The sequence below is a fragment of the Homo sapiens genome, chromosome 7 (genome assembly GCF_000001405.40).
Source record: "Homo sapiens chromosome 7, GRCh38.p14 Primary Assembly".
NCBI classification, from domain to species: domain Eukaryota; kingdom Metazoa; phylum Chordata; class Mammalia; order Primates; family Hominidae; genus Homo; species Homo sapiens.
The window spans coordinates 106,784,780-106,801,664 of NC_000007.14; the positions used below are offsets into that span (position 1 = coordinate 106,784,780).

Genomic DNA, 16,885 nt, shown 5'->3' on the forward strand with positions numbered 1-16,885 from the left:
GAAAATGTAGCCTTGATATGTTGGAAGAAACTGTAGTCTTTTCACCTTGAAGTTATGCAAATTACACTCCTGAGACATAGAGTAAAATGCAGCTAAATGAGAGTATTCACAGAGCTTGCTCTCATTACTGAGATGGTGAAATTGCAGAGAAAATGTGGTTCATAGCTCACTGGCATTTCCCAGTACACTTCTTACAAATCTTGAATATTTCAAGATAGACAGAGACCTCCCATGAGTTTGCCACCTGGATGAATAACTTACTGCCATCTTCAATATTTCTTTTTTCTTTTTCTTTTTTTTTTTTTTTTGAGATGGAGTCTCGCTCTGTCACCCAGGCTGGAGTGCAGTGGCGCGGTCTCAACTCACTGCAACCTCCGTCTCCCAGGTTCACGCCATTCTCCTGCCTCAGCCTCCTGAGCAGCTGGGACTACAGGCACTCGCCACCACACCCAGCTAATTTTTTGTATTTTTAGTAGAGATGGGGTTTCACCGTGTTAGCCAGGATGGTCTCGATCTCCTGACCTCGTGATCCGCCCGTCTCGGCCTCCCAAAGTGCTGGGATTACAGGCGTGAGCCACCGCGCCCGGCCAATATTTCTAAGAGATGTTCTCTTTGTTTTTTTCTTTGTTTTTTTTTTTTTTTTTTTTTTTGAGATGGAGTCTTACTCTGTCACCGAGGTTGAAGTACAGTGGTGTGATCTCGGCTCACTGCAACCTCCACCTCCTGGGTTCAAGCGATTCTCCTGCTTCAGCCTCCTGAGTAGCTGGGATTATGGGGTCCCACCACTATGCCCGGCTAATTTTTGTATTTTTAGTAGAGACTGGGTTTCGCCATGTTGGCCAGGCTGATCTCGAGCTCCTGACCTCAAGTGATCTGCCCGCCTTGGCCTGCCAAAGTGCTGGGATTACAGGCGTGAGCCACTGTGCCCAGCCTGCTTTATTCTCAAGTCTCTTTCCTCAGGAACAATGCCTTCTTTGCCAGTAGTGAAGACAGGAGGAAAATGCCATCACTTCTCCTGCCTAATTCCATGATACTCCTGAAGTCCAAACACCCCGACATGGGTGAGCATACCTGCTTAAGGTATGCTTTGCCCCTAAAAGAGATAAGCATAAGACAGAGAAAGATAATATGCCCTGCACCTTTGGTTTATGCTGGTTTGATTAAAGGAAAATACCCATAGTATTTCCTTCAACAGAGTATTTCCTTTGAGAGTCTCTCTCTCTCTCAAATACCCATAGTTTGACTTTCCTCAGCTTGGTGTCCCAGAGGTTTGTATACCCAGGGCAATTAAGGTACCACAGCATAATTTGAGGTGGATGAAAAATATGTCACTTTTTTGTAGGGCAGAAGAAAAGGAGCTATAAAAGAAAAGGTGGATAAGGAGAAGCAGCTTGATTCAGGGGCACTTTTGAGCAAATATAGAAATATATATATATAGAGAGAGAGAGAGAGAGAGAGGGAGAGAGAAAGAATTTGGAAATTGATTCTGAGTCTGCATAGCTCTTGGGATGTCCTCATGTACCCCTAAAGCTATGCAAATCTCAATTTGAATTAAATATTTCTACCATTGCTAATAATTATCATTGCAATGTACTGGGAACCTATTTTAAACCAGGTAGTATATTAAGTTTCTCATATATATATATATATATATATATATATATATATATATACACACATATATATATACACATGTATATATACATATATATATATGGAGAGACAACATGTGCTCATTTAAATTGTACTTCTCATATGATAGTCATTATTAACCCCATTTTAAAGGTGAATAAATTGGGACTCAGAGAAAAGTAATTTGCCCAGGATCCCACGGCTAGTAAATGCCACAGCCAAATTCAACCCTAGCTCCATTTGATTGGAGAGCCTGTGCTCTGCAGTTCACCCTACGTGGCCTTGTTTCTGTGTTCTCAACTGGCAGCAGCTGAATATCTCTGCCTTCTAGAGAACCAGTGCTTAAAAAGTAATAAGTCTCTAATGGTGGATTTCAGGATTATGTGGCAGACTTTTGAAAGGTATTTTCATCAAGACACTCTTCCTAGTGCCTCCTGAAATCATGAAAATACATTTTTTCTCTCTTTTTCTGATACACACATCACTCTGTTTCTTAATGAGGTTACAGAGGTGGGGAGAATCAAGTATGAATAGCAAATAAGCATTCAAATTAAGAAAACTTGAAATTATTCCAGGGTCTCTATTTAGTTCACTGTTAGAAATCCTAACTGTGTTTTCATACTTAATTTAAAGACGTTGTGGTCACTAGTTCTTTTTTTTCCTTAAAATATCCCCCAAAGGATTCTTTAATTCTCAATTTTTGACCTAAGCCCATGAACCCAATCCCTTTAGTGATTAACCACACAGTTAAAAATTAAAGGTAATGATGATCATAAATGACCATTAATTCTTTAATTCTCAATTTTTGACCTAAGTCCATGAACCCAATCCCTTTAGTGAATAACCACATAGTTAAAAATTAAAGGGAATGATGACCATAATAGCAAACCATAAAGAATATCCTACTATTCTCTGCAAAAATATAGACAAATTATGGTAATTAAAAAATAGCCCCCTTTCAACCTATTTCACACATATGTACACACACAATTTTCAGTGGAACTGTGAGTAAAGTGAATCTACACTTATATTTCATTATGGAGCTTAAACTAATATTTATCTATTCTTTAAGACAAATTAAAGCTTGTATTTTTGGGTGGGTTCAGCTAAATAGTAGTTTGGACAGTAGTCCTTGGTCTGGGGCTCATGTATTTTTCAGACGTAAAGACACCTAAGAAGTTACAAGAGCACAGGGTGAATAAACAACATCAGTTTCCTAGAGTGCAGATTTAGGAGAGGAGAGAAAGCTTAATGATCTAGACTAGAAAAGCAGCTCCCAAGACAAAAGAGCACCTCTGTTGGAGCCAGCCACACTGCATTTTGAGACGCAGCTCAAAAAGGTGGAGAGGGGAACGGGAAAATCTAAGGAATTTTGTAAGGTGAGGGAGTCGGACAGAGAAATTAATTATGCTAGTTTTTAAGGGTATATTTGGTCCTCAATGAAATACTAATGTCATATGTTTATGTTTTGCTTAAAGAACTTTTACATAAATGTATTATTCATAACGGCCTGTGGGGTTTGTGGGGAAGGCACTATTTTTGTTAAGTGGCAGAAAAGAAAATGCAGGCACAGAGAGGCTGGGCGAATTGTCCATTGTCCCATAGCTGGTTCCTTGGCAGAGTAATGATCAGACAGACCCCAATCCAAGGGAGTCCCACCTCTTGCTAGCAGTCAGAGGCACTCTTTTTTAATTTGCCAAATTGTTCTAAAACTAAATATACAAGTACCATATAATCCAATAATTGCACTCTCGAGTACTTATCTCAAAGCTTTGAAAACTTACGTTCACCAAAGACCTGTATATGAATGTTCATGATGTCTTTATTCGTAATAAACAAAAGCAACCGAAATATTCTTCGGCAGGTGAATGGTTAAACACGCTGTAGTCTATCCATACACCATACACTGGAATACTTTTCAGCAGTAAAAAGGAACAAACTATTGATAAATGCAGCAACTTAGATAGCTCTTAAGGGAATTATGCTGAGTGAAAAGAGCCAAACTGTTTTTATTTTATTTTTTTTTTCTGGAGAAAGGGTCTTGCTCTGGTGCCCAGGCTGGAGTGCAGTGACGTGATCAGCCTCAAACTCCTGGGCTCAGGTGATCCTCCCACCTCAGCCTCCCAAAGTGCTAGGATTATAGGAATAAGCCACCACACCTAGCCTAAAAGAGCCAATATTAAAAAGTTATATACTATATGATTTCATTTATATAACATTCTTGAAATGAAAAATTCTAAAGATGGAGAACAGATTACTGATTGTTCATCAGGGTAGGAGTGGATGTAGGATAGCGACACAGCCTTAGTGATGGAACAGTTCTATATTTTGATTATAGTGGTGGTTACATGAACCTATACATTACAAAAGCTGCACAGAACTATACATACACACACATGCAAGAACACATCAAACAGGTGAAATGTGAATAAGCTCTGTGGATTGGCCTAATGCCAATTTCCTGGTTTTGGTGTTGTGCTATAGTTAGGCAGGATGTTATCACTGGGGGAAACAGAGTGAACATATATATATATATAAATATATATATATATACACACACACACACACACACACACATATATACATATATATATACACATATATATATGTGTGTATATATAGATATACATTTTTTTTTTGAGACAGAGTCTTGCTCTTTTGCCCAGGCTGTAGTGCAGTGGCACGATCTCGGTTCACCGCGAACTCTGTCTCCCAGGTTCAAGCAATTCTCCTGCCTCAGCCTCCCAAGTAGCTGGGATTACAGGCACCCAGCTAATTTTTGTATTTTTAGTAGAGGCAGGGTTTCACCATGTTAGCCAGGCTGTTCTAGAACTCCTGACCTCGTGACCTATACATTTTTTATAACTTCCTATGGGTCTATAATTTTTTTCAAAATAAATCATGAAAAAACCATTTTCTAAGTAATCATAAACCACATTTAATAGTCCATTCTTGAAATTTGTCTGGGATTAACACAAAGCTAAGGCCAGTTTTCCTGTACCTCCCCATTTCTTCTTACCTGTTGGTTTGTGATACAATTTGGATCTGTATCCCCACCAAATCTGATGTTGCATTGTAATTGCCCATGTTGGAGGTGGGACCTGGTGGCAGGAGACTGGATCATCAGGGTGGATCCCTCATGGCTTAGTGCTGCCCCTGCAATAGTGAGTAGTAGTTTAAAAGTGCGTAGCACCCAGGTCGGGCACAGTGGCTCGCACAAGCAATCCCAGCACTTTGGGAGGCTGAGGCAGTTGGATCATTTGAGCCCAGGAGTTTGAGACCAGCCTGGGCAACACGGCAAACCCCAGCTATATAAAAAATTAGCCTGCCATGGTGGTGCATGCCTGTAGTCCCAGCTACCTGGCAAGCTAAGGTTGGGGGATCACCTGAGCCCAGGGCGGGGAGGAGGAGGGGGTTGTCAAGGCTGCAGTGAGCCATGATCAAGCCACTGCACTGCAGTCTGGGCAACAGTGAGACCCCATCTCAAAAATAATAAATAAATAACTGAAAATGTTGTTAAGTATGTAGCACCTCTCTTCTTCCTGCTTTGCCATGTGACATGCCTCCTCCCACTTTGCCTTTGGCCATGAGTAAAAGCTCCCTGAGGCTTCCACAGAAGCCAAGCAGATACTGGCGTCATGCTTCCTGTACAGCCTGCAGAACTCGGAGCCAGTTAAATCGCTTTTCTTTATAAATTACCCAGTGTCGTGTATTCCCTTATAGCGAGACCTAATACAGTTTGTCTTATTGTCTTTCATTCTTTATTTGTTAATTCATTGCACACTTATTAAATGTTCATCATACACGCACTGCTGCTCCTGCAGGAGATCACTGGCCTTTATCCTATCCCTTGGCTCCATCTTTCTTCCCACCTTTCTGTGGAAACTGACAGGAGCAACTAATTCAGCCCTGAGGGTCATGAATATCCACAAAGGGAGCATTTAAGTTGATTTTACCAGGATTTTCTTCTCCCTTTCCCAGAAAATTTGAGTGGAAAATCCCTCTTGATCAAGTCAGCAAATCTCCTGCCAAACAAATTCTTCCCAGTCTTTGAAAGATCCAATCCCCCTATTCTGGTAGGTTTGGCTATTATCCAGGAAACCTAATCTCACTCCTCTAAACCAGCAACAGAAGCCAAGTCTTCCTTTCCTGCATCCTTTTCTTCCAAAGCCAACTGGAAAGAAAAAATAAACCAAAAATTCTATCTAGACCCTAAAATTCTCTATTTTCTGTTCAAAACTCCAACAATGGAGATACAATTGAAACTTCTTAACATCACAGAATTTGTTTTTAGCAGAAATCGATATAAGAGGCCAGCCTCCTCCTCCTCCTAGAGATGAGGGAGAAATAGAGACTCAGAAGGGTATGCAATGTGCCAAGAGCCGGGCAGGACAATGCACTTGTCAGGGCCTGAGTCTTAAGAAGTCAACATTTACCAAGTCCCCACAGCCTGTCTTGTCATCAGGAACTGAAGGAAGCAAATGAGAGGGGAGCCCACCAACTCTCTGTGGTCCAGGTGTAATCAGGAGGCCCCTCCCCATGTTCTCCTCCAGGACACCTTTGGCAGGAATGAAGAGGGGACTCTGTATGCTCCTGACTGGAGCCCAACCTACCAATCCCCAGCCTTCACACTCCACACCACTATCCTCCTTGAGACCACCAAGATCAACCTCAGCATGCTCCCTAACCTTGTTTATGTCAACACAAGAAGCCCAGGACTCCCAGGTCAGCCCTCAGACCCCACACGGCTCTATGAGAGCAAACAACCACCTCCTCAAACACACACACACGATCCTAATTACCCCTCCTGCACTGCATTTTGTTTTTTTTTTTTTTTTACTTAGCATTTATGATTATTTGATAATTCATAAGCTCTATTTACTTGTTTTTCCATCCTCTCCCAGAATAAAAGGTCTTTGAGAGCAGGAATTTTAGTTTGTTTTGTTCACTCTTCTATCTTCAGTGTTAGCACTTTGTAAGAGCTTAATAAACATTTGTTAAATCAATAAATCTCTAAGACCGTTTTTTGAAGTCTGAAAATGCCAGGATGAAAGGATGTCGGAGAAGTTTAAGAGAAGAGCCATCATTTGTGGCAGCCAGAACACTTGAAAAAGGGAAGGCTTGAATTCTAAAGATTTTCAGAACCGGCATGGATCAAGTGAAAGAACAATTAGCAGTGGGGTGTTCAGAGCAGACACAGGGCCAGACATAAGCAAAATAGCGTTCCTTCTGAAACAGGGAATAGAAATAACTTCACACCTACTATGTGCCAAGCACCGTGTCAACAAGCACTATTCAAGATGGAATTGTTATCCCCATATACAGATGAAGAAACTGAGGCAAAGAGGAGATAAGTAACTGCCCAAGATCCACAGTTAGTAAGGAGGAGAGCCACTTTTCAAACCTGAAGTTTACCCAGATCCAAAATCCACCTCCCTTCCTCTCACTGAGTCTGCCTGGCCCATCCATCCCAGGCATCAGGCCCCTTCCTCTGTGACCCCGACTGAATTCTTCAGTGCCTCCTTCTCCAAGTTCCAGATGACCCCGAGGATCAATTAGTTCCCATGCAGTGCTAACAAATGCCACAGGCTCAGACCCTGGGTCCTGTCTTCCTCTCTAAATCAACACTTGCAGGAAAAAAGTATGGACCCAACTAGAAAGTACTTTTAATGATTAAGTTATTAAATAAACCCCAAAAAAGTACAGTGAAAGGGATTGGTAAGGGGGATAATTAGAATATAGCCTACTGGTATATCTGGTAAAGTTTTTATGATAATAAATTAAAATATCATAAAGTTTTTATAATAAATAGGATATTGATTAGTCTTTTCTAAACCTCAGCATACTTTTTTTTTGGTTTTGAAACAGAGTCTCTGTCACCCAGGCTGGAATGTAATAGCACGATCTTGGCTCACTGCAACCTCCACCTCCTGGGCTCAAGTGATCCTCCTGCCTCAGCCTCGGCATACTTTCTAACCTTGTTTATGTCACCACAAGAAACCCAAGGCTCCTGGGTCAGCCCTTATCCCCCACACGGCTCTATAAGCAGTAAGCAACCACCTCCCCAAACACACACACGCAATCCTTATCTTCCTTCCTGCCCTTTTGTAAAACTTAGCATTTATGATCATTTGACAAATCATATACTTTATTTACTTGTTTGTCCATCCTTTCCTGGAATAAAAGGACTATTAGAGCTGGAATTTGTTTGGACAGAAAAAAAAAGTGTTTAAATAAAAGCAGAGAGAGAGAGACATGGTTTATAACAAAGTCTCATTAGGATGATGAAACACTTAAATAAATTTTTACTGGGGTCGTGATCCCTGGAAAAACTTTCAAAATAAGAACTCTGACATTCACACTGAATGACTCTTCCTTCCATCACCGAGACACTCTGATCCAGATCAGATGGCCTCACAGTTCCGGCCAACTGGGTGAATCCAGGGTTAAAAATGGCCACCTACTTTTCATGGGGCCCACTCGACAGCTCAGTTGTTTGGAGGTATAGTGCTTGCAGAACCAAGGTCACAGGTAATGAGCGGGATTATTGTTCATCATTAAGCATTAAGTGTTATCTATGAAATGATGTTGTTTAATGGTGCTATAGGCTTTTAGCAATAGAGTCATCAAGAAATATAAAATCCAGACTTTAGGTTTAGTGGGAGAAGAGGGAAAGGAAAGCTTAAAATTAGGATAGTTGTAAGAAAGATGCTTATTAAAGAAAGATGAATGGAGTTTCTCTGCTTCTAGTCCTAAAAGACACTAGTGTTACAGGTACCTGTTATTTTTCCACCTGCCCAGCAGGTGTCAGTGTAAGACAATGTTCCTAGAACTGACCAAGCTTTTTTAAAAATTGAGAGTTATCAAATTATAAAATACAGAAGATACAATAAAGATGGGTTTGCAAAAATTTTCACATGAGCCTTTAAATGAGGGAAGGAGATGACCAAAAATAAGTTTCCAGAAAGGTAAGATGATCAGAGTTGGACTGGGGGGCCTCAGAAGGCCCCATCTGGCTCTCAGATTTCTTGTCAATTCAGCGGGAATTCCTGGAGCATCTCGGGGCTGCAGGAGGACTCAGCACTGTTGGAAGAGTTCGTTGCTGGTAACTAGCACAGTAACAAATGAACACTCCCAGGGAAAATGGTAGTATTCCACCAGGCATACTCTCTTAAAAAACAGACACCGTCTCTGCTTCTCAGAGGCTTACAATAAGAACATAGAAATCCTGTAATTCATGAAAATATATTATTATAAGAACTAAAAAAGTGAATCAAGGAAAAAGAGATGGTCATCAATGGTTGCATGAATAATTTGCAGAATGCACTGAGTTAGTCAGGGTGAGCTTCCCGGAGGAGCTGGCCATTGAGCTGTGACGAAAGAGAACAGAGCCACAAATCCAGGGTTCCACCCTAGCTCCTGCCTTTCTGTTCTGCATTCAGTTTTTCTCCTCCAAATACAAATGTCCTATACACTGATGAAGGGCAAGCAATACAGAAAAAGAAAATAAACACAACTTATTTTTTTAATTCACTATATAAAGGTTCCGTGGGTATTTTAAAGGGAAAATGGTGGGGGGCGGGGGCTCTTATCTATTGCGCATGTAACAAGACATACATTATGTCATACAAGTCTAACCAAAATCCTGAGATGTAAGTAGTATTGTTCTCATTTTTGCATAAAGGATCCAAGGCTCCCAGAAGCCATAAACTTGCCCAAGATTATGATATCTAATATTTATGAGGGATTACTCCGCATACACAATAATCCTATGAAGTTACTATTATTCCCATTTATTGGATGAAGACATTAAGCCTTACAAAAAATAAGTGATTGTCTCCCCAAAGCCACAGGCCTCAGGAGCCATTAAGATGAAATTCAAACTCATGTTTAGCAAGGTGGGTTCTCTGGGAACTCAGGTTGTAGGTGTTTGCTAGGAAGTGCCCTTAGGATTAGTACCTATGGAGAGAAGGGGAGGGTGGAAGGATTGGCCAGCACTGGGCCAAAGAGCCAGGCTTTTCTACACCTGTCTCCATCAGTCACTGGATATGGGCCTCACAGGAGGGAATGGCCTTGGGGAAGGCAGCTCTCTGCAACTGAGGTGGACCTGAAGGGTTGGTACCTGACAACTGTCTGCTGACAGCACTCCCAGAGCTAGAACAAGTCCTTCCTAGGAGGGGCATCTGGCATCACCACGTTCATTATGCCATGCCTGTGTCTTACTTTGTTCCAGTTAATCATGATCTCTGCTACACCATGCTGGGAGAAGGCCAGAAGGGAGGCAGTGGTAGTCTTTGATAGAGTTGGAGGGTGGGGCAGGGCTGGGGGTTGTGGAGTGGTGAGCCCAGACCCCAGACTTCCTGGGGAAATGAATACCAGGCTCTCATCCAAAGAGACATTTCATCAAATAACATCAAGTGGAAATAAACAAAGGGGTTGAGGCTGATTGCACTGGCTCCAAGTACTGTCAGCCATTAGATGCTTGTTGTTCAGTTGATTGACAGCTTCCAGGTGGCCAAGTAAGGAAGGATGCAACAGTTGGCCCAGACCTCGTGCTGCTTAGTAACATCTGATCTCCTCCTGCTGTGTGCCGCTTTCTCACCCGGAGGCACCTGAGCTGCTCCATATGCCTGGTGTGCTAAGCGCTGGCCTTTCTGTGCTGTGCGGTCCTGCTCTAAGGTGAGGGTAGCCTTGAGAGGGCTGTTTGCCATTTGGAAATAGAGTCAGCTTGTGGCTCTCTCAAGAAGTGAGAACAGCAAAATTCAAGCCTGAGTGGTAACCAGTTTCTCATACTTCTGCTTGAATTCAGAGAGCAGCTGACTTGACAGAAGGCAAAAAGCCGGCCAGCTTAGCTCACTCAGTGACAAGTGAGCACAGAGCAAAACTAACTTTCCATGGTTCAATTCCTCTCCAGTGTCACCCTGCTTGCACATGGAAGGGAGGCCTGAGAGGCTGCAGAATGGCCCTGGAGAAGGCAAGAGACATCATCTGGTTGGCCTGGAGTGCACGTCTGTGAGAGACTTTGGGGCAGTTCTCTCTTCTCTATGCTAGAGCCATTGATGCCCTGTGCACTTCATTGCCTTTGACCATCATTCCTTGCTCCTGGAATGCCACCTCCTCTTTGCCACAGTTAATAAAACCAGCTGAAGCCTCCGTTCAAACTCTCTTCCATGAAACTCTCCATCCGCATCACCACTCCGGTCAAAAGTACTGCAGTTTTTCTTCATTTGATACCTATCACTTAGCAACAGGGGTTCCAGCATTTTAAATTGTGCGTAAGAATCTCCTGAAGTGTTTGATTAAAGGCAGATCTTATGGCTGTGGGCTCTAGCCATTCTGAGTCAGCAGGAATGGAGAGGGCTGGGAGTCTGGATTTTCATTATCAGTCTTGGCCCTCCTGGTGAACTTGGTTTGAAAAAGGATACTTAGAGAAGTACTGGCATTATGACTGTAAAACATTTCTTCTCTCCAAAAGAAGGGATGATACACTTGCTGTAGAGTCTGTTTCCTCCTCTGAAGTGCATGCAATAGTGTTACAGGACCCCAACACTTACCCAAAGGTAGCCTTTGGGAAGGGGGTTTCCACACTATAGTCCCTTCTGCGGTGAACAGAAAGATGTTACAGGACTCCAACACCTACTGGGGGTTTCCTCACTATAGTCCCTTCTGTGGTCACCAAAAAGATGTTACAGGAAAGGCATCCCCATCCAGACCCCAAGTGAGGGTTCTTGGATCTCAGGCAAGAAAGAATTCAGGATGAGCTTGTAGAGTAAAGTGAAAGCAAGTATATTAAGAAAGTAGAGAAGCCAGGAATGGTGGCTCACGTCTGTAATCCCAGCACCTTGGGAGGCTGAGGCGGGCAGATCACAAGGTCAGGAGACTGAGACCATCTTGGCTAACACAGTGAAACCCCATCTCTGCTAAAAATACAAAAAATTAGCCGGGTGTGGTGGCATGTGCCTGTAGTTCCAGCTACTCCAGAGGCTGAGGCAGGAGAATCACTTGAACCCAGGAGGCAGAGGTTGCAGTGAGCCGAGATTGTGCCACTGCACTCCAGCCTGGGCAACAGAGCAAGACTTTGTCTCAAAAAAAAAGAAAGTAAAGAAATAAAAGAATGGCTACTCCATAGACAAAGCAGCCCCGAGAGCTGCTGGTTGCCCATTTTTATGGTTATTTCTTGATATGCTAAACAAAGAATGGATTACTCATACCTCCCCTTTTTAAGCCATATAAAGTAACTTCCTGATATTGCCATGGCATTTGTAAACTGTCACGGCACTGGAGGGAGTGTAGCAGTGAGGACGACCAGAGGTCACTCTTGTCGCCATCTTGGTTTTCGTGGGTTTTGGCCAGCTTCTTTACTGCAACCTGTTTTATCAGCAAAGTCTTTATGACCGGTATCTTGTGCTGACCTTTTATCTCATTCTGTGACTTAGAATGCTTTAACAGTCTGGGAATGCAGTCCCATAGGTTTCAGCCTCATTTTACCCAGCTTCTATTCAAGATGGAGTTGCTCCAGTTCACATGCCTGACATTTCCCCCCTCCCTTTTATAAGAGCACCCTTAGTCCTAAGGGTTGCTGAGGAATGAAGATCCACCTTCTGTAAGTTCTTCAGGCTGAACAGGGGTGACAATATTCCTGCCTAACTATTAGGGTCTCTTGTATTCTGGGTAGAGAGGAGCTCAGTCAGAAAGCATTGGTATATGGGCCATTCATAACTCCAAGTTCTGACAAAAGGTGATATCTGGAAGATTAATAAGTGTTCAGTTTAAGAAAACATTTAGTAAGCTTGTTCTGCATTTTTACATGCAACAGCAATATATTTCACAACAGTAAAGCAAAATAAGTAAAATTATTCCGAGTAAACTAAATTAGAGGGTTTTCCATGAACTGGGCAGCTGTTGGAACCAAGCTGATATGGAGTTGCTAGATGATTTCAGTACACACCCAGAATTAGAATATTGATTCAGATTTTTACGATACCCATTCCTCTTGTTTCTTCTGAGCAGCAGTCAGAGATCACTGGTGGTTCACAGGGTTAGCCTAAATTATAGAAACAAACTTAAAAACAACTGATAAGACTAGAATCTAATAAGTGTACCATATTTCTTGAAACATAATATTTCTGTCTCTAGTTTCCCATTTTTATAAAAGACATATCATGGTAAGACTGATTTGCTTTATTATAGTTGGCCTGATTATTTGTATAAAGTACAGCAAGAGTAACTATTTTTCACATAAGCTCTTTTTAAATTGGCTTTGATGGGACTGTGTTCCATAGAAGGAATCTTAGATAAGACTTGTTTTAAAGCTGAGCCCTGCCATGGCTTTGCACCCTCAAATACCTATGAGTTGAGTAAATTCCCTTCCTCTTGGGGTCCCAAGATAACTTGGTGCTTCTAGGCCTGTTAGAAAGTGACATTCTTTACTTACCACAGGTCTGAAACCTTATACAGGGACTGTTGCAGGCAAGGTGTGAGGCTTTTCCCTAAGGGGCTTTTATTGACTTTACAAGTCAAGTTTGATTCCTTAAAGGAAAGCACACCATTCCAGTCAAAGCCTTGGTAAAATAACCAATTTCTCCAGTTGTGTTCTGTTGCAAAAGAAAACAGATTCTTATTGCATTTATGTAAATAACTTATTGTCATAAATTAAGAATACTCAGAAATAGTTTCCAAATTCTGGAGAAATCAGGTAACCAGAAACAAATATGCTCCAAATTTTGTTCATAGGAATATACTTTACTCAATTGTTAAACACTGTAAATAGCTTAAAAGAAAAGTATTTCTTGACTCTGAAAAACAAAATGAAGGATCGGCAACATTTTAAGAAAAAAGTTAAAAAGATTACTTCAGTTTTTATTGGTTCAGTTAATTTAGTTAACTCCTGTTTTGCTTGATATTCATAAACATTTCAGCTCTCCATGAAAATCCTGAAAGTTTTTTTCCTCTATTCTAATGTCACAATCACCAAAGTTATTAGAAACGTGCATTCAAGAGCACCTGTCAGAGTTCTATGGTTGATTATAAACCACCTTCTAAAGAAGATTAAAACAAGACAATTGTCTGCGGATGACAAAAAGTCCTAGGACAGCCACTATTTAAGCCACAATTGACTAGGAAATGTTGGTTACCTTTGTGTCACACAATGATTTTATTTAGCAATTGTAATTATTAATAACCTACACTAAGCCATATTACAATTACAGGAGGGTTTTTTTTTTTTGAGATGGAGTCTCACTCTGTCGCCCAGGCTGGAGTGCAGTGGTGCAATCTCAGCTCACTGCAAGCTCCGTCTCCTGGGTTCACGCCACTCTCCTGCCTCAGCCTCCCGAGTAGCTGGGACTACAGGCACCCGCCACCACGCCCGGCTTATTTTTGTATTTTTAGTAGAGATGGGGTTTCACCATGGTCTCAATCTCCTGACCTCGTGATCCTCCTGCCTCAGCCTCCCAAAATGCTGGGATTACAGGCATGAGCCACCACACCCAGCCGGGAGTTTTTAAAATAATTTTGGAACACATACCAATAGCATATTTATACAAATACAGCCCAAAGAAAGCCAAATGCTATTTTACATTTGATAATGCTTTCTGTATGATTTTAATATACCAAGAAGCCCAATTTCACCTTTACATTAGTATACTATTAACGTTAAACTCAATTCTTAATAAAACCTTATAGCCGTATCTACCCAATTTTAATGTTTCACTATAAGGTAAGATTTTCATAAACCTTTTATAACCCTTTACAAATTTTTGTTAAAGAGCAGATTATAGGCAGGTTTTTTGCTCTTAAGAAAAACCTGTTGTGCTTTAATTCCAATGCTTGATTTACAGAAAAACTGTATAATACCCCTTTTACTTTAGCCAGTAAGTTTACACACAGAATTTCTTTTATAATTAATTTTTCATAAACATTTCACAACTTGCTTAAACCTTCAGCTTTATCTAACTTAAAACAATCCTTTAATCCTTTAATCTGGGCAAGAAAAATACACATTCCCATGTGTTCTTATAATCTTTTACCAAAAACACATTCTACTTTCCTTACATGCCTTGCATGTAGAACTTTTTTTTAGTAGTCTAAGACACATGTTACTCTGTTAACTCTTAGTGACTTTTACTTTTGGTGAAAACCCTGGTTAGTAAGTGATTTTGATTATCTACTGGATGTGAAGGCTAGGACCCAGACAGAAATGTAGATAAGGTCTGACTCTTTCCAGCATTTAACTTCACGTGTCCTAGGACTTACTTAGAATCTAATGCTCCAAAATAAACTGAACAATTTTTCAAAGTCAAAGAAGCAGATTATGACCATTAAGTATTTAACAAACTTAACATCTGACCTGCATAATTTAGACCAAATGTCTTTTTTACCAATAATCTTTAAAACTATCTTTATTTCCCAAACATTACTAAAGTCACACGAACTAAAATGCATTACACTTTTTTACTTTTCTGACCAAATATTTAACTGAAGCTCTTATTTTTAAGCCAATCAGTTAAAGCTCTTTCATATACAGACATCACACGACACATATAAATAGACAGAAGAAGACAAAGAACTCATCTTCTAAGACAGGAATTGAATCCTGAACCCGGGCCACCGTTGTGATGGCAGAGACCAAGAGAAAGTACTGCCACATGCTTACAAGGTCAAGCTTCCAAGGACATGACTGACCACAGGGAAACCTCATCCACTTTACACACAAACACACACACACACACACACACACACAGAGGCCAGAAGTCTGACTGGTAAGAAATTCTTACCCTCTTGCCAGCATGCCAGTCTTCTGGGTTCCCTTTCCCTGAGTGGCCCTAGTGATCCAGCTGGCTGCACCACAGCCCTGGGGGCCAAGATGCAACACAAAGGACAAATTATCTCCTTCCATTCTGGCCAGAGTAAAATATATGTGACAAAATGTAGACATTAGCCACTCTGCTAGGCACCCAATATCAAACTGGCAAGCCTCAAACTTGCCCCCATCATCGTTAATCCAACTTCCAACCAGGAGTTTCAACATGTGGTCTCTGGGCAAGATGGTCACCCTGAGTAATAGAAAAGATAAGAAATGGAAAGGAGAGAGAGAAAAGGATTGCCTGTGGCAGGGTGGGGAAGGCAAGCTGCTCAGGGAGGCCAGAGAAAGACGTGCCCATTGCAGCAACACTGAATCAAAAGTTCAAGTGGCCACTTGTTGGTCGCAAAGGAATCTGTTCCAGCAGTGCCATCAGCTCTCAAGTTTCCCCTTTTAGGGAGGAAAAATCTCCCCATGTTTCACGATCCTGTACATGCTTAACCTTGTCACCCACAGCCATCAGCAAAGAGTACAAAGCAGATTAATCCAAAGAATAGCAGTTAACATCCCATAGTGCCAAACCCATTCTTAGCCGAGAGGGACTTTACCAAGAGGGACTTTACTGAAAGGGGTCTCTAACTCCCTAAATCTTAGAAGGGACTCTAATTCTCCTAAGTCCGACCTTTAAACCAAGGTTGGTCAAGTGTCCTTGCCTTTTATTGAGAGGAGCCTTTAACCCTCTCTTAGAAGAGACTCTAACTCCCCTAAGTTGGGCCTCTAACCCAATCCCATTCTTTACCTGGGTACCCCGCAACTTACCCAAAGTCATCCAATCAGTGCTGCAGTCTGTTTCCTTTGGGTTGGGGTGGGGGTCTCCTAGGTGTTATCCCTTCAGGGTTTGTCAGAAAGATATTACAAGACCACACCACTTACCCAGAGGTAGCCGTTGGGTTAGGGTTTCTGCACTATAGTCCCTTCTGTGGTCACCAGAAAGATGTTACAGGACCCCAACACTTACCAGGGGTTTCCTCACTACAGTCCCTCTGTGGTCGCCAGAAAGATGTTACCGGAAAGGGGTCCTGATCCAGACCCCACGTGAGGTCTCTTGGATCTCACTCAAGAAAGAATTCAGGGCAAGTCCATCGAGTAAAGGGAAAGCAAGTTTATTAGGAATAAAAGAATGGCTACTCCATAGACAGAGCACCCCCGAAGGCTGCTGGTTGCCCATTTTTATGGTTATTTCTTGATGATATGCTAAACAAGGGGTGGATTATTCATGCCTTCTCTTTTTAGACCATATAGGGTAACTTCCTGACATTGCCATCGCATTTGTAAACTGTCATGGTGCTGGTAGACGTGTAGCAGTGAAGACAACCGAGGTCACTCTTGTCGTCATCTTGGTTTTGGTGGGTTTTGGCCGGCTTCTTGACTGCAATCTGTTTTATCAGCAAG

The 16,885-nt window shown here is 41.7% G+C and overlaps 1 long non-coding RNA gene across 4 annotated transcripts in view; it reads left to right on the plus strand.

The window, feature by feature from the left end:
* The window catches only part of LINC02577 (long intergenic non-protein coding RNA 2577), a 63,465-nt gene that overhangs the window by 9,762 nt on the left and 36,818 nt on the right, over nt 1-16,885 (plus strand). Inside the window, exon 3 of one of the 4 annotated variants that reach the window (NR_170301.1) lies at nt 10,547-10,785. The exons of the other annotated variants lie outside the window; for them this stretch is intronic. This is a non-coding gene — a long non-coding RNA (long intergenic non-protein coding RNA 2577). Of the gene's footprint in view, nt 1-10,546; nt 10,786-16,885 lie in introns of those variants that run through there. 4 annotated transcript variants of the gene reach the window in all.